The 21,921-nt window shown below is 50.9% G+C and overlaps 1 protein-coding gene and 1 pseudogene across 3 annotated transcripts in view, besides 9 other annotated features; one reads left to right on the forward strand and one right to left on the reverse strand.

Moving 5' to 3' along the window:
- Positions 1 to 21,921, forward strand: part of CMIP (c-Maf inducing protein) — a 266,955-nt gene that overhangs the window by 10,094 nt on the left and 234,940 nt on the right. The gene's annotated exons all lie outside the window — the stretch shown is intronic.
- Positions 791 to 1,475: an enhancer, noted in NCBI's record as "H3K27ac-H3K4me1 hESC enhancer chr16:81489297-81489981 (GRCh37/hg19 assembly coordinates)". NCBI's record gives its function as "activates a minimal SCP1, AML or CMV promoter by ChIP-STARR-seq in primed H9 embryonic stem cells {active_cell/tissue: H9 hESC(primed)}" and the evidence as "EXISTENCE:reporter gene assay evidence [ECO:0000049][PMID:30033119]".
- Positions 2,083 to 2,377: an enhancer, noted in NCBI's record as "tiled region #2768; HepG2 Activating DNase matched - State 5:Enh". NCBI's record gives its function as "activates a minimal TATA promoter and a strong SV40 promoter by Sharpr-MPRA in HepG2 cells {active_cell/tissue: HepG2}" and the evidence as "EXISTENCE:reporter gene assay evidence [ECO:0000049][PMID:27701403]".
- Positions 2,083 to 2,377: a silencer, noted in NCBI's record as "tiled region #2768; K562 Repressive non-DNase unmatched - State 14:Gen5'". NCBI's record gives its function as "represses a minimal TATA promoter and a strong SV40 promoter by Sharpr-MPRA in K562 cells {active_cell/tissue: K562}" and the evidence as "EXISTENCE:reporter gene assay evidence [ECO:0000049][PMID:27701403]".
- Positions 2,083 to 2,846: a biological region, named in NCBI's record as "Sharpr-MPRA regulatory region 2768".
- Positions 2,162 to 2,846: an enhancer, noted in NCBI's record as "H3K27ac-H3K4me1 hESC enhancer chr16:81490668-81491352 (GRCh37/hg19 assembly coordinates)". NCBI's record gives its function as "activates a minimal SCP1, AML or CMV promoter by ChIP-STARR-seq in naive H9 embryonic stem cells {active_cell/tissue: H9 hESC(naive)}" and the evidence as "EXISTENCE:reporter gene assay evidence [ECO:0000049][PMID:30033119]".
- Positions 2,847 to 3,532: an enhancer, noted in NCBI's record as "H3K27ac-H3K4me1 hESC enhancer chr16:81491353-81492038 (GRCh37/hg19 assembly coordinates)". NCBI's record gives its function as "activates a minimal SCP1, AML or CMV promoter by ChIP-STARR-seq in naive H9 embryonic stem cells {active_cell/tissue: H9 hESC(naive)}" and the evidence as "EXISTENCE:reporter gene assay evidence [ECO:0000049][PMID:30033119]".
- Positions 2,903 to 3,197: an enhancer, noted in NCBI's record as "tiled region #2416; HepG2 Activating DNase matched - State 5:Enh, and K562 Activating DNase unmatched - State 5:Enh". NCBI's record gives its function as "activates a minimal TATA promoter and a strong SV40 promoter by Sharpr-MPRA in HepG2 and K562 cells {active_cell/tissue: HepG2 | K562}" and the evidence as "EXISTENCE:reporter gene assay evidence [ECO:0000049][PMID:27701403]".
- Positions 8,871 to 9,410: an enhancer, noted in NCBI's record as "H3K27ac-H3K4me1 hESC enhancer chr16:81497377-81497916 (GRCh37/hg19 assembly coordinates)". NCBI's record gives its function as "activates a minimal SCP1, AML or CMV promoter by ChIP-STARR-seq in naive H9 embryonic stem cells {active_cell/tissue: H9 hESC(naive)}" and the evidence as "EXISTENCE:reporter gene assay evidence [ECO:0000049][PMID:30033119]".
- Positions 14,930 to 15,430: an enhancer, noted in NCBI's record as "H3K4me1 hESC enhancer chr16:81503436-81503936 (GRCh37/hg19 assembly coordinates)". NCBI's record gives its function as "activates a minimal SCP1, AML or CMV promoter by ChIP-STARR-seq in primed H9 embryonic stem cells {active_cell/tissue: H9 hESC(primed)}" and the evidence as "EXISTENCE:reporter gene assay evidence [ECO:0000049][PMID:30033119]".
- On the reverse strand, positions 20,598 to 21,658 carry PPIAP51 (peptidylprolyl isomerase A pseudogene 51; annotated as a pseudogene).

Below are 21,921 nucleotides of genomic sequence, written 5' to 3' on the forward strand. Positions count from 1 at the left end.
AGGTCGGAGGTGGGAATGAGCAGAGGGAACAGTGAGCAAAGGGACAGGCCAGAGCGGCTGGGCACATTCCGGGAGTCTGTGCAGTTTTTATGGGGTGGACACCGTAAGACGGCATAGGAATTAAAGATAGAGGTGGGTTTGCCTCCTAGAGCAGAGTCTACCAGTGTGGGGTGATTAATGCTGGGTAAACCCATGCACCCTGGGGCGGGTGGTGCTTTACGATGCAGAGAGACTAAGGACTGGCCGGCCAGCCGGGAGCCCGGGATGTCACAGATTGGAAGGCTTAGGAGTGCAGGGATCTCCGAGTCGCCAGGACCAGGCAGTTAGTCACAGTAGTGACCGTGCAGCGGCCACTCGTGTGATTAGTGTGTTTCCTCTTGCCAGGGGCTATGCTATGCAGGTTTTATCAGTGATCCGTACAACCCAGTTAGATACTGTTACTCTCTCCATTTTACCGATGGGGACACTGAGGCACTGCCCCTCAACAGACATAGTTTGGATGAATGAACAGCTTGCCTAGTTGGGAGGTCCGTCCTGTTGGAAGGGGAGAGGGACCCACGGAGAGGGAGGCGCAAGCCCAGATCTCTACCCCTCCACTTCCTTGTAACCCCACGGGCCTCTGGCCCTCTGCGTAAGTGCGAGTTCTACCACTCCCCTGCTGCAGGGCTCTGTCCGTACTGAAAGCAGGGGATTGCGTACATGGTGTCTCCAACACATGGCCCAGCTGTGGTGCACACAGCCTTTCTCGGTGTGCACACAGGCCCTAGGATTCCGAGCCCACCCCTGTGGCCTGTGAAGAGTGGTGGTAATGGCGTCAGGCTGCTGGGCTCAGCCTGGTGAGCTCCTGGTGGGCTTTCCACTAGAGACCCCTGCTACTCCAAATCCCAGGCCTGAGCTGTGGCTCACAGGACCCCTTTCTTGAACCTTCCCTTCAGGGAGGCCTGGTGGGAAGGCCCTGCCTAGGCCTGTGCTGTCTCGAAGGTGATCCCATCAGGCTGGACCTCAGGGCCAGGGACACAGTTGGGCACCTTGTAGGCGACGCAGGAGTGGCACTCTGCCTCTTGTCTGCAGTGGGGGAAGTGCAGTGGGGTCTCAGCTGGCAGGTTACAGGGGCAGGTCTGCCCATTGGAAAGGGGAATGATGACTTGTTGACATCTGTTTGTCGCCCTGGTTGGTTCATGTTTCACGACCCTGTGACTGAGGCTTGCTTCAGGGTAGGAAAATGGAAGAGCTCGAACTGTCCCAGCAGGCTGGTGGCAACTGAGCTCGGGGAGTCCCAGCAGGGCCAGACAGAGCCCAGAGCCAGATGATAGTCATGTCCAAGGTGAGTGGAGGGGACCGCGGGGTAATCATGACCATTTCCTCCAGTCATTCTCAGACCTTTAGGCGTGTGCGCATTTCGTCCTCTCATCAGCCCCGTGAGGCGTTAGCAGGGGAAATGGAGACCTCAAGAGTTCAAGGTTACACAGCTGGAACCCAGGCAGCCTAACTCCAGAGCCAGTGGCCTCCAGATGTCACGACGAGTCCCTGGTGGGGTGTGAGCACAGGAACCCTGGCAGCAAGGGCCGAATCACCAGCAAGGCAACAGTAAGGATAGTGAGCACTTACCCAGAACCTGTTTTATGCCAGACACTACTAGAGCCCTTTGTGCAGATGTACATTCATCTAATCCTCACGATGCCCCTGCGAGGTGGTGCTGTCATTGTCCCCCTTATACAGATGAGCAAACTGAGGCCCGGAGAGGAGAGGTCCCTACTTACCCAGCTTGTAATTGTGGAGCGAGGATTTGACCCCAGGCTGTCTGGCTCCAGAGTATCACTGCCTGTGGCTGGTAAGCAGAGTTTTGGGGCTGCAAAGCAGAATGTCAGAAAGGCCCACAGTGGCCAGGCTGGCTGTGAGCTGAGAGGAGGGCCTTGTGGAAGGGAGAGCGTGTGGACAGAGCAGAAGGGTCTACCCTGACTGCACTGGGGCCCCTTCCGGGAGCTTCCTGGGCCAGCTTCCTGCAGACCCATCTCCGGAGGAGCCGTGGCAGAGGATCGCTTCTCACCTGCCCTCGTTGAACCTGGGGTGGTCACCTCAGCCTCCTCGCCTGAGACCACCTGACCCTGCAGAGCGCTCTGTCACAGCCGGTGGTGAGGACTGGATCACAGTGAGCACGAAGTTCAAAGTCTACTGTGGAGCGAGCGTCCCGCCCTGTCTGGCTTCTGGCCTCAGCTTCCCCATGCCTCTGACCTTTGGCACACGCCTCTTCTTTCTGCTTGGAACCCCTCCGACCCCCCCGCCAGTCAGTGGTTTTCCAGGGCTACCTTCCCCAGTTGGAGCCAGGGCTTGCTCCCCTGTGGCGCGGCACCACCCCAGCTGGGCAGCCAGGTCGCCTTTGCCTCTTGCCTTCTCCACTCCACATTTACCTCCCCTCTCTTGTAAAAGCAAAACTGAAGCCATCATACAGGGCTGACGACAATCTTACAAAATCAAGAAGAAAAAAATCCTCCCAGAATCCCACCACCTGGAAATCACCCGTATTAACCATGTGGGGTGGAGCCATCTACCCTTTCTCCTAAATGAGTGCGTGTGGCATAGGTACACAGGGAGCAGGAGGAGCTTTTATTCTAGGTTGGCCTCCACCTGCCAGGTGCTGGCCCACTGCTCCCCACAGTTGTAACAACCCGTGATACGTAACAAGCAGGCTCTGCCACATGTCCCCGGGGGGCCACATTACCCCTGGTTGAGAACTGCTGTGTTCATTCATTTAATCATCACACCTACCTCGTGAGGTCCCATTTTCTGGAGCAGGCAGGGGCTGCCCGGGCTGGCATGTGACAGAGCTGGGAACTCCTGCACCGTCCCACAGTCACCTCGTCTCTTCAGAACTGGCCCACAGGAGGTCTGAAAAACAATGTGGGGGCCTTAGGAGCCCTGTCCCCATGTCTGGCATGGTGTGGGGCCAAGAGCCGGTGGGCCACGGCACCCCAGGCCCCCAGAAGGAAATCCCAGCTGGCCTGGGCGTTGGCAAGCTCCCCCCTACCTTTGATCCCTCCCGACTGACCTCCCCCTCGCTGTCCCTGCCTTCGCCCTGATGACTCAGGACTTCAGAGATCTGGGTTGTTGAAAAGGGGAATTACATCATGCCAATAAGAGAGAGGGGGAGAAATTAGCATTAGAAAGTTTTGGCGTAAGGAAAAATGACTTCAAAACCTGCTTCTTGTGCCCTGTCTGAATTGAAGCAGGTTTTTGGGGGAGATGAGGAAGTGGGGAGGAGAGGGGATAGGGACCCTGGCTTCTCACCTCTTCTAAAGAGGCCTTCATCTGTTTGACCCCAGACCCATCCACGGCTGGGCAGTGGGTCCCTCTCCTTTTTATAGCTGAACCCCATCACCTGGAAGGCTATTAAAAAGCAAGGTTCTGGAGTTGGCATGCAGGTTCTACCCGCAGGCTTGGTGAAGGGGGGTAGGGGTCAGGGAGCACTGCAAAGACGAACAGTCTGGGGTTCTTCTGTTGCCCCCAGTGGTAAGCAGGGCACCCTCTCTGGGCCAGCACAGCCCTGGCTGGGGGCATGACTAGAGGAGGGGATCCCGGCTGATCTCAGTCCCACTGGCCTCCACTGGGTGCTCCTGCGTAGGGCCCTCCCTGCTCAGCCATTCTGGGAAGCTTTGCTTGAAGGGGATCAGGAAGGAGGAAACCCCCTGCCTCCACTTTGAAACCCGCACACTGTTTCCCCATTACGTCTTGCAGGGAGGTGGAGGCGTTAAATCCCCTGCCTGCCCAGGTCAGTCCTTCCCTAAAACAGGACAGTGATCGGGCAGGTTGATTAGGAGGGCTGGCCAGGCTTTTTGATCCAGACATTTCATATGAGGCCATTTAACCAGTGGTGTGATCCAGCTCTCAGTTTCCTCATCTGAAAGCTGGGGATATAAGAGTAGCCACTCCCTAGGATAAAGGGGAGAATACATGGAATTCTGAGAATAAAGGAGAGAATACATGGAAAGTACTTAGTAGAGTGTGGACACGTGGCATGTGCTCAACAGATGTTTGCTACCATCATCATCATCATCATGACCCCTACCATTACTGTCATCTCCGCTGTCACCATCACTGTCACCATCACCGTCACCGTCACCATCACTGTCACCATCACCATCACCATCACCATCACCATCACTGTCACCGTCACCGTCACCATCACTGTCATTACTGTGGCTACCGCTTCTCTTGTGTTGGGTTTGCCACCTGTATACCTTCCTGCTTCCTGCAGGACTGTGAGCTTGAAGGCAGGGTTTGGGTCCGTTTTTCCAGGAATACCCGATGTCAATAAAGGCCTTTGTCTGTTGCATGGTGGGGGACCTTGGCATCCAGGCTGTGAAGGGACAGGAAAGTCTCACAGTTTTCTTGGAAACCTTCTGGTGACCTTGGAGTCAAGGGAAGCTCTTCTTGGGTGTGCCCGTGGCCCTGTGCTGTGACCCTGCGCTGTGACCCCGTGCCGTGACCCTGCTCCGTGACCTCGCTCCGTGACCTCAGGCACCATTATTTGGAATGGGCTCTCAGCCCCTGTCCTAACCCCAGCCACCAAGCTCCCAACCCAAGCAAGATGGAAACCCGCCGTTGGGAGGATTAAGATATTATTGGTGGTTTTCACCTCAGCTTTCAGCAGCAGTGCTTGGGAAATAAGATTTTGATCTCGGAAAATATGATTTAAAAACAGAATTGAAAGTCGCTTTTATTTTCTAAACGATATTGCCCCTGACGCATGCACTGCCTCTGACTGGTGGCCTCCGGTCTGAGCACACCCGTGGGGTAAACTGCGTAGCAATTCCAGGGGTGTGCTCTCTGGATTTTATAGACTTCCACCCCAAGCAGGCCCTGCCTTTGATCCCCCACTCGGGTCTGCAGTGACAGAGCACCTGCTTTAGACCAAGCCCAGGAGGCTGCTGCTTCTTTGGGGAATTGTCTTAGCCTTTCCCACTCTTAGGAGGTGGCCTTGTCAGATGCCAGCTGAAGGGGTCTTCTTCCTCCGAGCCCTGCTGGGCTCACCTTTGAATGCCACAAACCAAACCCATGGACCAAGGGGACTTTGGCCACATCCCAGTGTCCCCTCCAGTGGGGAAGGGAAGTTCCTTTCCTTCCTGTTGTGTGAGGGCTAGGGGCACTGAGTCCCCACAAGGCCTCACCATGGAGGCTCTGAGAGGTGAGGTTTGGCTCCCCTGGCCACCCCAGAGTCAACACAGGGCCTGTGTGTTTTTCTTTGCCTCTGGGCCCATGTTCTATTCTTTCCAGCCTTTGCCTTGGAAACCCCACCCTCCATTCTTTTCTGCTCCCCTGCCTTCTGGGTGGGTCTGGCCAGTGGAGAGCCTGGGGGAGATGGAGGATGGGAGGAGGGTGAGTGGGCTATTTATTCCCTCCTCCCTTTTCCTTCGGGTTGCCAGCGGTTGCCATGGGTGGGTGGCGTCCCTCAGCCACTCCTGCAGTCATGTCACTCCCTCTACCCAGGTTTTTCTGTAACTGCTCCTTCCCCTGCAGTGTCAGGCCCAGGGATAGAAATACATGGGGGAGAAATGAAGTGACTGCTGTCCTGGTTTGCCCAGGACTGTCCCAGGTTTTTGCAGTGAAAGTCCTGTGGCCCAGGAAGCCCCTCAGTCCTGGGCACACTTGGACGGCTGGTCACCCTAGGTAGAAAAACCATCTTTTGTGCTTCCCCTGTACGCTGCCCATGCCTTAATATATTGTCCTTTTGTGAAAATTTCCTCTGCCATCTGTTTCCTCCCAGGACCCTGGCTGATGCACCAGGAGCTTGAGGAGATGGAGTGGTGTTCAGAGCCTCTTCCCTTTAGAGTTCAGAGCAACCAAATGGGCATCATGCTGAACGTGGGAGAAACAAAAGAATCTCTTGCACTTGGACTCTTTTCTGAAAATTTGCCCCCTGCAAAGCAAAATGGTGGTGGTGATGATGACGGTGATGATGGTAGTGGCCATTTCTTTGCCTACCCACTGTGGCCTTGTTGTGAAGAACTTTGATGCCCTGTTGTATGTGATCGTTATGACAATCCTGTGAAGTTTTTCAATGATGAAGGAAACTGAGGCTTAGAGAGTTGGAGTAATCTGTGAAGGCTCAGGATGGGCAAGAGGTCCCGCCCAGGTTTGAGCCCAGATGCGAGGTTACCACGCTTCCTGGTGAGGTGTTTTACAACTAAGGCCAAGCCAGGCAAAACCCATTGTTCTGCAGCTTCTGGCTTGGATTGGGTGTCTTGTTGAGTATGTGGGCAGTGGATCTGATGTTTTCCACTTCCTCCCATGTGGCAGGGCTGTGTGCATGGAGCATGAGGGGCTGGCTGGGCAGACAGCCTTGATTTGACTGAATTCAGCCATGGCCCATGTTGGAAAATGTTAGCCTATTTTTCCTTCTCCATTTGCCCCTTCCCCCTTTTTTTGTTTTTATAATTAGAATCAGAGCCAGCCATAGTTGGAAGAGAACTTGAAGTTCATCTAGTTCTGGGATGGCAAATAAGTGACACATGTGCTGCCACTCCTCATTGCCTTGACCGTGGTAGACATTGCTAATCAACCCTAGCGTAATTAGTCTTCCCAGTGAGCTCAGAGACAGCCACTAATAATCAATTGTTGTTGGCATGCAACGGGGACCCTATTTGCCATTCTTGATGTAGCCCAGCTTCTTTCACTGCATAGATTAGGAACTTAAGGCCCAGAGTCGTTAAATGACCCTCAAGGGAGCCAGTGGGATTTTTTTGAAGCCTTCTCCACACCAGGGTGTTCGCTCTTAAGAGATGATTTTGGGTTAAACAAAGTGTGGTATAGAGGAAAGCACCTGGGTTTGCAAAGCAGTGCCTGGATCTGGGTTCACATCCCAGCAATGCCTCTTGTTGCTTGTAACTCTGGGTAGATCACATGAGTTCTCTGACCCTCATCTTGGAAACTGAAATTCCCATCCCTACATCCCAGGATTGTGAGAGTAAATGACATGGTATATTTATCCAACATTCAGCAGTATGTGCTGGGCACCGTTCTAGGCATTGCGTGTTGCGGTGAGCTGCATAGGCAGTTCTCATGGAGCTGGCTGCCCTCATAAAGATGAGGCTAGTTTTCTTCCTCTTTCCTTCTCGGAAACCCATGGAACTGTGTTGTCATCATTATCTTTTACTTCTCTTCTGTCATATCCACTTAAATTTTGGTCCATTTCTGCATCCCATGACTTGCTTTGGGAAGTGATTTATTTTTTCTTTCATTCCTGGTCTCATTTCCATTCTTGTGTCTGGGTGGATGGTCAGTGAGTCCTTTGTCACAGTCACCAAAAATCAAAATGACAGACTATTCCCTGCTGAATGGATGTTCTGGGGTACTGGGTCTAGATTTGGGAATGACATACTCCCTTTGAAAATGTGCTGAAAGCTATGGATCCTTGGGCTGGCAAAATGGTAAGACAGAGCAGGGCTTATAAAACTTAGCAACTATGTGTTTTTTAGCATCCATAATATAGGCATTCTTAGGGATTCATGGACACCTCCCTCTCTAGGGCAATAAACCAGGCTAGGGGGTCAGTGACGCTTCCCCAGCAGGAAATGGAGCTTTGCACAGAAATAAACATGTAAGTGATAAAAAAAAAAATGTTTCATTAAGTAGAAAGATCAAGGTTTTTATTCAGAGTTTTGCTCCTTTGGCCAGGTAAGTGTGGGGCTGGTCCCTGCAGCGTTTTCTGTACTTGCTTGAGCTGTGTTTAGTCTTCTTGGTTATGGTGAAATATTTTTTCTTTTATCCCAGTCTGGAGTTTCAAGGTTGGCACTTCTTGCCCCTAAAATGTTTGTTTTAAGATTTAGAGCAGTTCTTCACTCTCTGATAAGGTGTAGTGCATCACTGGAGCTGCGTTGTGATTGAGTCCGAGGGCTGTTCTGCTGGAATCAGGCAGATGGTGGCTCACTGCTCAGCTTTGCCCTGGCTCTCAGTGTGACCTTGGGCTGCCTCACCTCCCTGACCTGTAAAGCAGAGGGACAGAGTGACCACAAACCCTTGATGACCAACGATTAAAGAATACTAAGCATGAGAAAATATGCCCAGGGAGTATCCACAGAGGCAAAGGCAGTCTTGGCATTTGAACGCCTGGAATTTGGGAAGTATGGATCCTTTACTGAGTCTCTATCATGGAGGCTACCTGGCAAATTCAGCTGATGTGAATGGAGCAGTGGACGATGAGTGCAGGTCTAATGGGCTCCTTCCTTCTGGATACCAAGGACTTCACCTTCAGCAATGGTAAGCAAGCACCACTAAGAGAAGCTGAGGGTTTTCCTTGGTTGTTAACATTTTAAGGACCCCAATAAACAAGTTTCCTCATTGTCTTTGTTTCTCCCCAGGTTGGCTGGCCCCGATCTTTAGCCACACCCTAGAGCAAAACGTCACTTAAATGACTAGAGAGGGACAGAGTTCCTTGGGGCCATTTCAGATTTAGACATGGAATTTTTCTGGGATAATTCCTTTGCCACTGAATTTTGCATTTGCATGTTCTAAAGCCAAAAAAAGGAGTTGAACTTTCCCTTTTGTTTGCTTCATTACTCCCACTACGTTTGGCGGGACGGCGGTTGTGGTTTTTATTCTCAGATTTGTTTTTATGAGCGTGCTGTGCGCATGGAGTCCTCTCTCCTCCCTGAGGATTTTGTAGGACGATTCAAGCCGGCTCTCTGCCCAGCTGGGTACCGATTGCCAGGGCTGGACCGGGTGAAATAATGGAACCTGCCATTTCTCAGGCACCTATGATGTGCCAGGCACTTATTCAGCCCCCTGGGTGGGCAGTGTCCCCGTGTTACAAGAGAGGGGACAGGTACCCCAGGCCCTTGGCCTCCAGGGTCACATGGCTGTGGGTTGTGGAGCTGCGATGCAAACCCAGGTCAGGCCGACTCGAGCTCGTGTGTCTTTTCCTAGGCTCCACTGCTTTTCCTGAGACCTCAGGGGACTTCCCAGGTGTCCTTTATGTGCCCACTCTTGTATGGTTCCACCTAAGGAAAAATGAAGTAGGTGTTGGTTGGACAACAAGGCAGGCCTTGGAGAGTTCTCCTTCATTTCTCCTGCCCCTCAGCCTCCTTGCCAAGCTTGAGTGCAGCCAGGATTTTCCTAGTCCCTTGAGTTACCTGGCCGGGGTGGCTTTTTCCAGGCAGCCAGCTCAGGGAAGAAGCTAGGGCTCCATCCACCTCACCTTTGTGATCTTCTGAGGGAGCCGCAGCCAGTGTGTAAGGGAAGCAGGGGTAGAGACAGTAGCTTTGTCATTAGTCTCCGCATTTCACAGGTGAGAAAAGGAGTCTCCCAGGGGAAGTGGCGTGGGCACAGTGAGAGGTGGCTGGCTAAGCCAGAGCTCTTCCTAGTGCCAGCACCTTCCTAGAATTAGCTGTGAGACTGAAGAGAGGAAAGATGACATCTGGTCACAGGCTCCACATCTGGTCCGATGGGGCAGATGCCTTGATTTCACAGTTGGCGAAACTGAGGCCCAGGTAGAGAGACTGCCCCAGTCGCTGTCCCTACCCCGGTACAGCATGCTGTTTTCTCACTTTGTCTATTTGATGATGCAACCAGGAAAATCTTGATCAGGGAAGAGTGAAGGTCTCATTCATTCATTCATTCATTCATTCATTCATTCGTTTTGGCAGCTGAAGTTCTGAGGTTTTAAAAAAATTTTTTTATTGTGGTAAAATATGCATAACACAATACTTATCATTTTATCCATTTGTAAGTGTACAATTCAGTGGCATTAAATACATTCACAGTCACCACTGTCTACACCCAGAACTTTTTCATCATCCCCAGCACAAACTCTGTACCCATTCTCTCCTCGTCCCAGCCCCTGGTCACTGCTGTTCTACTTGCTGTCTCTATGAGTTTGCCTATTGAAGTACCTGAGCTAAGTGGAATCATACGGTATTTGTCCTTCTGTGTCTGGCTTATGTCACTTAGTGTGAGGTTTTTACGTTCCCCCCATGTTTAGCACATGCCAGAATTTCCTTCCTTTTTAAGGCCAAATAATGTTCCATTGACTGGATAGACCACATTTGATTTATCCATTCTTCGGTCGACAGACACTTGAGTTGTTCCCTTGTTGGCTGTTGTGGGTAACGCTCCTGTGAACATTGGTGCAAGTATTTATTATCGCCCCTGCTTTTGGTTCTTTTGGATATACATCTACGAGCGGACATTTATTTTTTAAAGATGTTCACCCCCCTTACCCATTACATAAAGAACTCGGGTTTGTTGTAGCACAGTTAGATAACGCAAATAAACAGAAGAAAACCAAATCCACCTAGAATGCCGACAGCCAGAGATGATAATTAACATTTTTGTAGGGTGTTCATTTGCATGTGCCGTTTTTTCCATCCATACTTGATGATGCTGTACCTGGACAGTCTTTGGTGTTGTGGGCTGGATCTTCATTTAGAAACATATATAAACCAGGCCTGAGGCCCTGCTGTGGAGGGAGGGGATGCCAGCTGGACTTTCACTACCACCAGGTTGCGTCCTTGATAGGGGCAGGATGCACCCCGTGTCTGACGCTGTGTCCTGCTGTGCTTGCTTCCTTTTCCTGTTCTCTGTCCCCAGACTGGACCCCGTACGTTTGTTACCAGTCCCTAACACTCACTGTCCCAAGAAGGCTGCCTCGCACAATGCCTGGTTGTGGTTAGTGCTCAATAAGTATTTGTTGAATGAGCTAATAAGAAATGATCGATTGAATGAACGAATGAGAGAAATTCCCCAGCGAGCTGACCTTGGGCCTGGCTCAGCTGAACCGTGAGAGGGCCTCTCTGGCTCGACCATTTCGCCTGTGGTGGTGACTGGGCAGAGTGACCCAGCACGGTGAGCTGTCCTTGCTGTCACCTGTGGGAAAGGCAGGGGTTGTGCCTGTGGCCCTGGCTCAGACAGCAGGGCCCTGTGAGTTCCCTCGCTCCAGACCTTCGCTCAGGGTCTTCTGGGTGTCAGGTGCCCGGCTGAGGGCTGGGCTGTGGGGTGAACCAAACACAGCCCCACTAGAACACCTTCGTTCCAGTCGGGGAGACAACCCTTGCAGAGAAGAAGCTGGTAATTTCAGGTGGCAAGAAGTCGATGATGAAAAATACATCCTTGTCCTTTCCTTTTTCTTTTCTTCTCTCTTGTTTTCATTTGTTTTTTTTTTACTTTTTATTTTGTCTTATTTTTTTGAGGTAGGGTCTCGCCCTGTCACCTAGGCTAGAGTTCAGTGGCACAATCACAGCTTGCTGCAGCCTCAGCTTCCTGGGCTCAAGTGATCCTCCCACCTCAGCCTCTCGAGTAGCTGGGCCTGCGGGTGTGTGCCACCACATCCAGCTAATTTTTAAATTTTTTGTAGAGATGGGGTTTTGCCATCTTGTCCAGGCTGGTCTTGAACTCCTGCGATCAAGTGATCCTCCTGCCTTGGCCTCCCAAAGTGTTGGGATTACAGGCATGAGCCACTAGGCCTGGCCTCTTTCCCTTTTTAAAAAAATTACTTCATTTGGCTGTTTCTTGGTTGATTGGAGGCCAGGGATGTGCAGTTGCTGTGTTTGAATCTTAGCTCTGCCACTTACTAGTGATGATCTTGGCAATGGTTTTGAGCTTGGCGAGCCTCAGTTTCCTTGTCTGTGTAACGAAAGATGGGGGTGTGTCTACATCACAGGGTTATCATGAGGCATAACTGAGACATTGCTCAGGAAGCACTTCTTATTGGTATTACTTACGAACGGGCCATGATTGCATAATGAATCTGATGGCTACATGCTTTTGAAATTACAAAACCAATGCCATCCAATTGATTGGTGATCTGCCTGGGATAGGAGCAAGTTAATGCATTGACCATGGGGGGCTTAGCACAGCGCCGTTTCCCTGGGAGACTTGGGCTGAACCGAATTTGTTCAGCCAAAGATTCTGCCTCCTCCCTGGGAACTAGGAACAAAAGGGCCTTGCTTGAAAGAGGCTGTTGTTCCTTCACCAAGTTTAGAAAGCCAAAGTTCAGTTTCTGCAACCAGTTCCAGGAGTTATGTGGCAGGGCTAGACTTTTTCCTTTTTTCTTGTGCCTAATTTTGGGCCAGTTCTTCTGGTTAGATGATTGAGGTGACCAGAACATACAGGAAAATAAACAGAAACCCCCAAACTGCCCTTTGAAGCTGTCCATCCTCGCTGGGCAGGAACAAGGATCTTCTTGGGCTCTAGAAGTTTTTTTTAGTTGAGCGAGTTTCCATCCCACCAGGCAAGGGGCTTAGGCGAGGTTGTGTGATGTGGGCCCACGCCCTTGGGCTGGACGTGGACCCATGTTTGTCACCGGTCCCTAACACTCACTCTGGGACCTGGGCACATCCCGCAACCAGTCTGAGTGCCCCAGCCTGGTGTTCCCATCCCAGATGAGGCGCTTGACAACCTTCTGCCCCGTTGGGAAGGTGGGACAAAGCCTGCCTAGTGAGGCAGGGGCTTAACATAGAGCAGCCTCTATAGCAGTGCCCCCAGCAGCGGTGCCTCTCCCCCTCTGTGAGGCTCCCCTCAGTTTCTCTTTACCCCGTAAAGGCCTCCTGTGAGAAGATGAGAGGATTTGAATGCGCCACCCTCAAAAATGGCATTTATACCCCAGGTTTGGTCTGGAAAAAAGAGGAATTTAGTGTTTTTACTTTTCCTGGCCTCTTCTCTTTTGCTCCTTTATTTTTTTCTTTTTCTTCTTTATTTTTTTTTTTTTGAGATGGAGTCTCGTTCTGTCACCCAGGCTGGAGTGCAGTGGCATGATCTTGGCTCACTACAACCTCCGCCTTCCAGGTTCAAGCGATTCTCTTGCCTCTACCTCTCGAGTAGCTGGGATTACAGGCATGTGCCACCATGCCTGGCTACTTTTTAAATTTTTATTAGCAATGGGGTTTCGCCATCTTGCCCAGGCTGGTTTTGAACTCCTGGACTCAAGCAATTCACCTGCCTCGGCCTCCCAAAGTCCTGGGATTATAGGTGTGAGCCACCGTGCCTGGCCTTCTTTTTTTTTTTTTTTTTTTTTGAGGCAGAGTATTGCTGTATTTCCCAGGCTGGAGTACGGTGATGAAATCACGGCTTACTGCATTCTCAACCTCCCAGACTCAAGCGATCCTCCCATCCCAGCCTCCCCAGTAGCTGGGATCACAGGAGTGCACCACCATGCCCGGCCCTTGCTCCTTTGTTTCTAATGTGGGGCTCCTGTGGTCCTCTAGTCCAGGTGAACAAGTCTTTGAAATGCACGATCAGGGGCAACCTTTTGGGTAGCTTTTTGGAGCCCAAGATAATGAGCGGGCTTTCCTGGGCAGGGGCCAGAGGGCTGGGGAGGCAGAAGGCCATGGTTCTCTATGTTCATCTCAGGCTCCCAAGCCTGTCTTCAAGATAAACTGTAAAGTGTGCTCACTCTCCCACTGCCCACTCAGACCCCCAGGTGATGTGTCCGTTTTCTGGAAGTAGAGCGCAAACTCAGAGAGAGGCCGGGGCTGGAATTCCAGCTCTGCGGCCCCATCTGCATGAGTGTCCCTCTCCTTGCGGGTAAATTGAGGGCAAGGATGGAACCTTCCGCACCTTGTAGGGTGAGAACGAAGTGAGAAGTGAGCAGATATGCCCCAGGCCTCTCGCAGGGGCCTGCGCGTGCCGTGCCCTCTGTGCTTTCAGAGTGTTCTCTCATTCAGCAGTTAGGCATCGTGCCTGAAGCATGCCCTTATGGGGCACCTCCTGGGTACCAGGCATTGTGCTAAGGGTTGGGAGTGTGGAGACAACAGCATGGGAGAAGAGAGTTATGGACAATCGGTTCCAGTGCCCGCAAACGAGGGTGACTCAGGGTGGGCACTCGTGGGAAGCAGCAGGGTCCCTGGAGAGAAGGCTGCTGATCCAAGAATGGGTCCGCTCAGGCCAGGAGGAGAAAGCAGGGAGGAGCTTTCTGGGCAGAACACAGCATTGGGAAAGTCCGAGGGGCCTGGTGAGGCCTGGCACACGCTCCATAGGCCTCAGGTGTATTGAGTGGGCTGGGGGCTGGTGGAATTGTGGAGGGCGGACGCAGTGAGCTGCCTGCATGCTGGCCTTGGGACTTTGGACTTCAACATGGAAGCCGAATTACAGGAAGGCCCCATGAACGTCTTGTTCTTTCCTACTCCGCTTTGAGAGGACCTAATTCTTTGCCCCGATTTGGATCAACCTTAGGCCCAAGAACCTGGCAATGGCTGAGCTGATCAGGAGTGTGGGGCCCAGTTCGTTGCCAACAGGGAAATGTCCTCTGTCCCTCAACCTTTGACGTTGGTGGGGAAACCCAAAGGGGCTGGCAGCCCTTGGGGTCATTCTGGACTAGAAGCATCTAGACCCAAGATAATGCAAAGAATTGTCACGTATAGGAAAACTGGGATCAGCCCAGGCCAGTAATCAAAACAGCATGTTGGAAGTTCTACCTTGGGCTCTGCCACTTGCCTGCTGTGTGACCTTGGTCAAGTAACTTCACCTCTCTGAGCTTTTGTTTTTCATCAGTACAATGGGGCAGATAGCGGTACCAACTCCATGGGCTTCTGTGAAGGATTCAGTGAGATAATGCACATCTGGTGTTAGCCTTGTGTCTGACACAGAGAAAGTATACAGGAAAAACAGAGGGCTCTTATTACTGCCGTTACCACTGTCATTGCTACTGTTACCAAGATTACAGAGGAGGGGACCTGACTACACCCAAGGTCTGAGGGGCCAGAGAGGGCTTCCCAGGGCAGGTGACGTCAGGCTTTGGAGTCAGACCTTCTTAAGTTCAGGCTTTGCCTGAACTGTGGATTCACAGTTCTTCAGAGAACTCACTATGTGTGACATTGGGCAAGTTAGTTATTGAAATTAAGTTGAGCATGTTATTTACATTCTGATTACGTTAGTTAAACTCTACCTGGAAAATGGGATAATAACACCCGACAGCCAGGCTGCCGTGGGAGTATCAGAGCCACCAGGCCAGTTCTGTTTGAACATTTCCCTGAATGTCTTGGAGGATGGGATGGGGAGGGATGAGGAGGGCCTTCTTTGGGGTCCTCCTGTCTGCTGCACCCTTGACCTTGTCTGGTGTCTGACAGCAGCAGCAGGTAAAGAGCAGGCCTCAGTGATCTCCTGCATTTCCTCTGGCCCTCACTGGGAGCTCTTGCCTTGCCTGACAGTTCACCAAGTACTGTGTACTATCTTGTGCAGAAATCATGAGCAGGAGGAAGAACAAACCACTTCCTCTACAACCTTCAGATTTATCAGACACAACTTTTGACAGTTTCAGTTTAAAGAGAATTTCAAAAGAAGATGTTGAAAGCAATAGGGAAATAAAGCGGCCCCTGGCCTCAGCTCTCTGCTGCTTCCACATTTGAGACAAAGGCGCCGCAGGGATGCTGGGAGAGAGCCCCAGCGGTTCAAGAGGTGCCCCATCCAGGCGCCCCGTCCAGGCAGCTTGGGTCCAGAGCCTTCTTTGCACGTGCAGCCTGCTGGCTGTGGTGGCTGGGGTTCTGGGCATCTGCAGGGTGCTTTTCATGTCCTGGGAGTAGTGGCGTTTGCACAGAGGCCGGGTCACAGAGACAGATGTTTCAGAAGTTTGACCTCAAAACAGCTTTCTTTTCCCTTGGGTTGTCTGGAGAAAGTGCTAAAAATAAGGCTGGATCTGAGCAGGCGCTGCTGACAGGCCACCTGGAGGTTCGAGTCCACCACGAAGGTGGAGTCTTGGGGTTATACTGGCTGGAGCCATAGGAAATTGAGATTTAAAAAAGCTATTAAAAAGATTATAAATGAGATCTTGCTGTGTTTCCCAGGCTGGTCTTGAGCTCTTGAGCTCAAGGGATCCTCCCACCTTGGTCTCCCATACTGCTGGGATTACGAGCATGAGCCACTGTGCCCAGCCAAAATTGGGATTTTGTAAGTAGAAAATGATTAAATATTGGTTCCATATAGTTTGTAAGTAAACACAATTCTTGACTTCCTCATGTGATCTCTTCGCTGTAGCCCTGAAACTCCTGAGATCAGTACAAAAAGAAATCCTTTCTTGGGAAAGAAAAGGGAGTGTTATGATTGGTGTACATACACATAGGCACACACATATGCATACACACATGCACACAGGCACAAACGTGCATACACACATGCACACAGGCACACATGTGCGCACAAACATGTGCATACACACATGCACACAGGCACAATGCGTGCATACAAATATACCCACATGCACACACACGTACACATAAATGCATGTAGACATACTTGTGCATATACACATATACATGCATACATATGTACATATACACGTATACACATAGGCACAATACATGCATATAAATATACTCACATGCGCACACACATACATGTACACATACATGCACACATAGAAATACATATACACATACCATATATACTTGCTTGTACACACAGGCACAATATATGCATATAAATGTACCCACACGCACACATATGCACACATAAATATGTATAGGTGCACACATATGTATACATGTATGTGTATACATGTGCATATGCATATACACGTACAAATGCATACACACATACATGTACATGCACATACATTTGTACATGCATATGTACACATACACATGTATGCAGACATGCACACAGATACATAGGCATACATATACACATGTGCAGACATGTAATACACATACCAGTGTACACATACACACATGTGCACACACACATGCATACACAAATACACACACACACACAGTTATACAGTAGTCCACTCTCATCCTTGGGGGATATGTGTCAAGATTCCCAGTAGATGCCTGAAATGGTGGAGAGTACTGAACCCTACATAGACTCTGTTTCATCCTACGCGTACATACTGGTGATAAAGTTTAATTTATACATAAAATAAGGGTGACTTGAACACAAGCACCATGATACCATGGCAGTGGAATTGAGTACAGAGAGGGCTGCTGAGTGACTCACAGGCAGCTAGGACATGCAGTGTGGACAAACTGGACAGAGGGAGGACTCACGTCCTGGACAAGATGCAGCAGGACAGTGTGGGATTGAAGACTAAAGAATTGTCTGGAATTTTCCACCTAATCTTTTTAGACTGCGGTTGACTATGGGTCACTGACACTGCAGAAAGTGAAACCTCAGCTCAGGGGGCACTGCTGCAGGTGCACACACAGATTCACGGACATGTACATGCATATGCACTCAATGTATATGCCGTGTACACACACACTCACGCACATGCACATGTGCTCTCAGTATACACATGTATGCACGTGCACACAGGTACATCCTCACCCGCCATCTTTGAAATCTCACTTATTGCATTTGTGTTTCTGATGTATATGTAACTTTGGGCAAGTTGTGTGACGTCTCTGCCTCAGTTTCCTCGTCTATAAGATGAGATTAGCAGCAGTGTTTATGACCTGGAATTGTGGTCAGGATTCCATGAGAGGATGTATGAACCAACTTGAGAGCAAGGCTCAGAACCCCAGAAGTGCTTCGTGAAGATGAGCTGTTCGTATTTCCAGTGTCCTTCATGGTGGCTCATCTGGCCGCCCGTTCTGGTATCCTGTGTGTGGCGTGCCCCATGCGTGGAGGAGTGGCCCATCTCCCCAGGGGTCCCCTGGGTCTTGTAGGCACTGATCACAGCCACTCACTTGACACCGTTGAGTGTCAGCTACATGCCATGCCCTGTCCTAGGGTGCCCCAACATGGGCCCTGCTCTCAGGAACCTGAGCATTCACTGGGGGTGGCACCCGCAAATGTGTCAGCCAATCACCAGAGCCCCTTCAGAGGTGGCAGGTGCTAGGACAGTAGAGGGGCAGGGTGAAGGGGTGGAGAGATGGGAGGCCCCTCAGGAGGTGGCCTGGAGGCAGGAGCTGATCCTGTGCAGATGTGGAGAGGCCGTTGGGATGGTGAGTGCAGAGGCCCTGGGGTGGCTGAGGTGCACAGTGGGGTGTGGAGGCTGGAGGGACATCCAGGGGCACATCGTGGCATCTGTGGTGATCTGCAGCCTGCGCCCAGTACTTTGTCCTGTTCCTTTCGGGGCTTGGCCACACCGCAGCTGCCCAGTGAGTGTGTGAGGGGCTGGTCTGTTTAACTGCTTGCCCTGAAGGTGCGAGGAGAGCCTGTTCGCCTTGCATCCAGTGGGCCAAGCTTACATAGATCCCATCTCCTCTGCATACCCTCAGCATCCTGATCTATAAAATGGGAGTGAATATAGCACCTTCAGCCACACCACCAGCCTGCCTGCGGCCCCTGCCTCCTGCCCGGCCTCCTCTGAGGTCAGTGCCTTCAGCTCCTGCTGCACTGGTGGCCACCGCCTGCAAGTGCTTATGTCGGCCTCTGTCTCTGCAGGACGACGTGAACAGGCTGCGGCTGTCACTGACGTGTCTTCCTTCGTGTTTGCCGTGGGGGGCATATAATTGCATTCCTCATGAGGGAATGACACAGAAAGGGCAGGGGGTGTCAGCAGGGGCCGCTCTGTAATTTCCATGTCTGGGACGGATTTCAGGACTGAGCTGTTTTCCTCTTTGACCCGGCAGAGGCTGTTGCCCAAGTCAACAGTGGTGCGTTTTTGAATTTGTCTTTGTTGGTTTTCTTTTTCCCTTTCTTCTTCTTTTTAAAATAGGTCTTTTTTTTTTTTTTTCCATCCTATGAAATAAAACTGGAGACTTGGTTGTAGTGGGTAAGAATTAGCAGTTCCTGTCCTTTTGGTGTGGGAGTTGGGCGGGGGTTGACTTAAATATTTATTTCCCATTAAGGGATTCATGGGCTTGGACGCTTGTGTTGGAATGGGGTGATCTCAAATCTCACTCATGATTTTCGACCCCTGTAGGACTTGGGCCTGCCTTTGGGGGACGCGGGGACGCAGGGACGCATTGAGCAGAAGCTGCAAGCGGATGACCCATGGGCCAAGTCAAGTCTGCTGACGTGTTTTACTTGGCCCACACAGTGGTTTTTTTTTTTTTTTTTTTTCTTAAAGCTTCAGTAAGTTGTCTGCCTTTAAAGTTGGGAGCATTCCCCTAAAAAGTTCCGGATATCCATTTTCTAATAATAACAACAGAAGCAAACATTTCTATGTGACTTACCACAGGCCTGGCTCAGCTCTAGACGACTCCCATCCCTTTGCTCCTGGGATCCCCAGACAGTTCCGAGGTGGTGCTTCCTGTGATCATCCCCATTCTACAGCTAAAGAAGCAGAGGCAGGCCTTTAACCGGGCACTCCTGGCTGTGCCCATGTTCCTGTGTGGCCACCCCTTCAGGCTGGGCACGGCCTCTCCACTCCCCCAGCCTCCTAGCCCACTGTACTCAGGTTCCCCCCTGCTCAGAGCTTGTGGGCGTGGACTTTGTACCCCCCGGGCTTGGAGAGGGCAAGGTGACTGTGGGAGTCCAGCTGCTGCTCCTTAAGTTGAGTTGTCTGTCACTGACTTACCCTCCCTCCCTCTCTCCCTACTGTCTCCATTCTTCTCTTTCCCCCTTCTTTCTCCTGCACCCTCTTTTTCCATTCCTCCCTTCCCCCTTCCTTTCTCCGCTCTCTCTTTCCTTCACTCCCTTCCTCCCATTCATCTGGTGCTTACCGGGGGCCACCAGGTAGGCACGTCGCACACTACTTCTGCTTCATGTGAGGGGTTCATGGTGGCTTCTCCCTACCTTCAGACCACACCTCTGGTGGGAGGTGCTGCGTGAGGATCCCAGGGGTGAACTGAGTCAGGTCAGAGGAGCAGGGAGCCCCAGCCCCTGGTGTCTTCTTACTGTGTGGTCTCTTCCGTGTCACCGCACTTCTGTGGAAGGGGAATGATGGGGGAAGTGGAGGAACCACTGTCCGCCTGCGGAGGGGCCTCAGTGTTGGCCGTGCTCATGGCGCCCTCCTCCTGGGGCTCCCTCTCCTCTGGTCCTGCCTCTCCTGCACGCCCTTCCTGCCTCCTTGGTGCCAGGGGAGCCAGCCCAGGACAGTCTCTGTGCCTAGGCCCTGCCAGCCTGGCTGCCCTGCCTCCAGCCATGGGGGGCGGGCGGGGAGGGAGTCGACCAGTGCTTGTCTTTGCAGAACTGCTGGTGGACTGAATGTGGTTCTGGGGGTGGCCAGGCCTGAGGGTAACTCATTTTGGAAGGTTTGGGATGTCACTTCACTTAAGGAGCCTTCAGCAACATGGAGTTTAAGTGGCCCTCTTCACCGTGGCCTTGTGGCTTCATGAATGGAGCTGCTGTGGTCAGCATGGCTGGCCCTCTGGAGAGGAGGGTGGGCCATGAGGAGAAGATGCTGTGTCTGGAGGCCTTAACCCTTTCCTCCCTTCTCTCCCTCCCTCCCTCCTGTCTCTTTCTCTCTCTGTCTCTTTCTCTCTAGGTGCATAAAAAAAATTGCTTTCAGATAAAGTTGACATGCAATAAACTGCATATTCTCCCTTTGCTTTTAAAATGATGATCTGTTTCAGCCATGCAAAGCAGGGTATAAAATAATATTTCAGTGTAACCACTCAGCGGAAGAAATAAACCATTCCAGTTGCAATACCTGATGTACCGTTCTCTGATTTCAAACCCTTCCTTTTCTCTGCCCCGACTTTGATGTTTATTCTTGTGCATATTTTTGTACTTGTACAACTACATACTCTTATAGAACACTCCATAATGTTTCCTAGATTTTTTTTTTGTTATTATATAGCTTTTATTTCACAATCATAAACTTAACTCAACTCTGCAATCCAGCTAGGCATGGAAGGGAACAAAACATGGAACCCAAAGGAAACTGCAGTGAGAGCACAAAGATTCTAGGATACTGTGAGCAAATGGGGCAGAGGGGTGCTCTCCTGAGCTACAGAAGGAACGGTCTGATGGTTAAGATAAAACACAAGTTGCTGGGTGTGGTGGCTCACTGCCGTAATCCCAGCACTTTGGGAGGTTGAGGCAGGTGGATCATGAGGTCAGGAGATCAGGACCATCCTGGCTAACACGGTGAAATCCTGTCTCTACTAAAAATACAAACAAAATTAGCTGGGTGTGGTGGGGGGCGCCTGTAGTCTCAGCTACTTGGGAGGCTGAGGCAGGAGAATGGCATGAACCCGGGAGGCAGAGCTTGCAGTGAGCTGAGATTGCTCCACTGCGCTCCAGCGTGGGTGACAGAGTGAGACTCCTTCTCAAAAAAAAAAAAAAAAGATAAAACATAAGTCAAACTTTATTCAAGTTGTCCACAGTTAGCAATAGTGATCTTCTTGCTGGTCTTGCCATTCCTGGACCCAAAGTGCTCCATGGCCTCCACAGTCTTCACGTCTTCTTTCACCTTGCCGGAGACCACGTGCTTGCGTTCAACCACTCAGTCTTGGCAGTGCGTGTGGAAAACTGGGAACCGTTTGTGTTGGGTCCAGCATTTGCCATGGACAAGATGCCGGGACCTGTATGCTTTAGGATGAAGTTCTCATCTTCAAATTTCTCCCCATAGATGGACTTGCCACCAGTGCCATTACGGCGTGTGAAGTCACCACCCTGATACATAAACCCTGGAATGTTCCTGTGAAAGCAGGAACCCTTATAACCAACTCCTTTCTCTCCAGTGCTCAGAGCGTGAAAGTTTTCTGCTGTCTTTGGAAACTTGTTTGCAAACAGCTCGAAGGAGATGCGGCCCAAGGGCTCGCCGTTGACAGCGATGTCAGAGAACACAGTGGGGTTGACCATGGCTGATAGAACAGGTTTCCCGACGGCGCCGGTGTCTGCAGAGTGGCCATGTTTCCTAGATTGTAAAGTTTCATATAAATAGTATCATTACTTGGGCCTTCTTGTGCAACTTGCCTTTTTAGTTTGCTTACTTTCTGTATATGAGATCCATTGTATGAAGAAGCCGTGGCATATTTATTTATGCATTCTGTTGATGGTCTTCTAGATTGCTTCTAGATTTTTGCTGCTGTAAACAATGCCACAGTGAACATCTTCATAGATAATCTCCATTTACAGGAATCCAAGAGTTTCTCCCATTTCCTG

Source organism: Homo sapiens, chromosome 16 (genome assembly GCF_000001405.40).
Source record: "Homo sapiens chromosome 16, GRCh38.p14 Primary Assembly".
In the NCBI taxonomy this organism is placed as follows: Eukaryota; Metazoa; Chordata; class Mammalia; order Primates; family Hominidae; genus Homo; species Homo sapiens.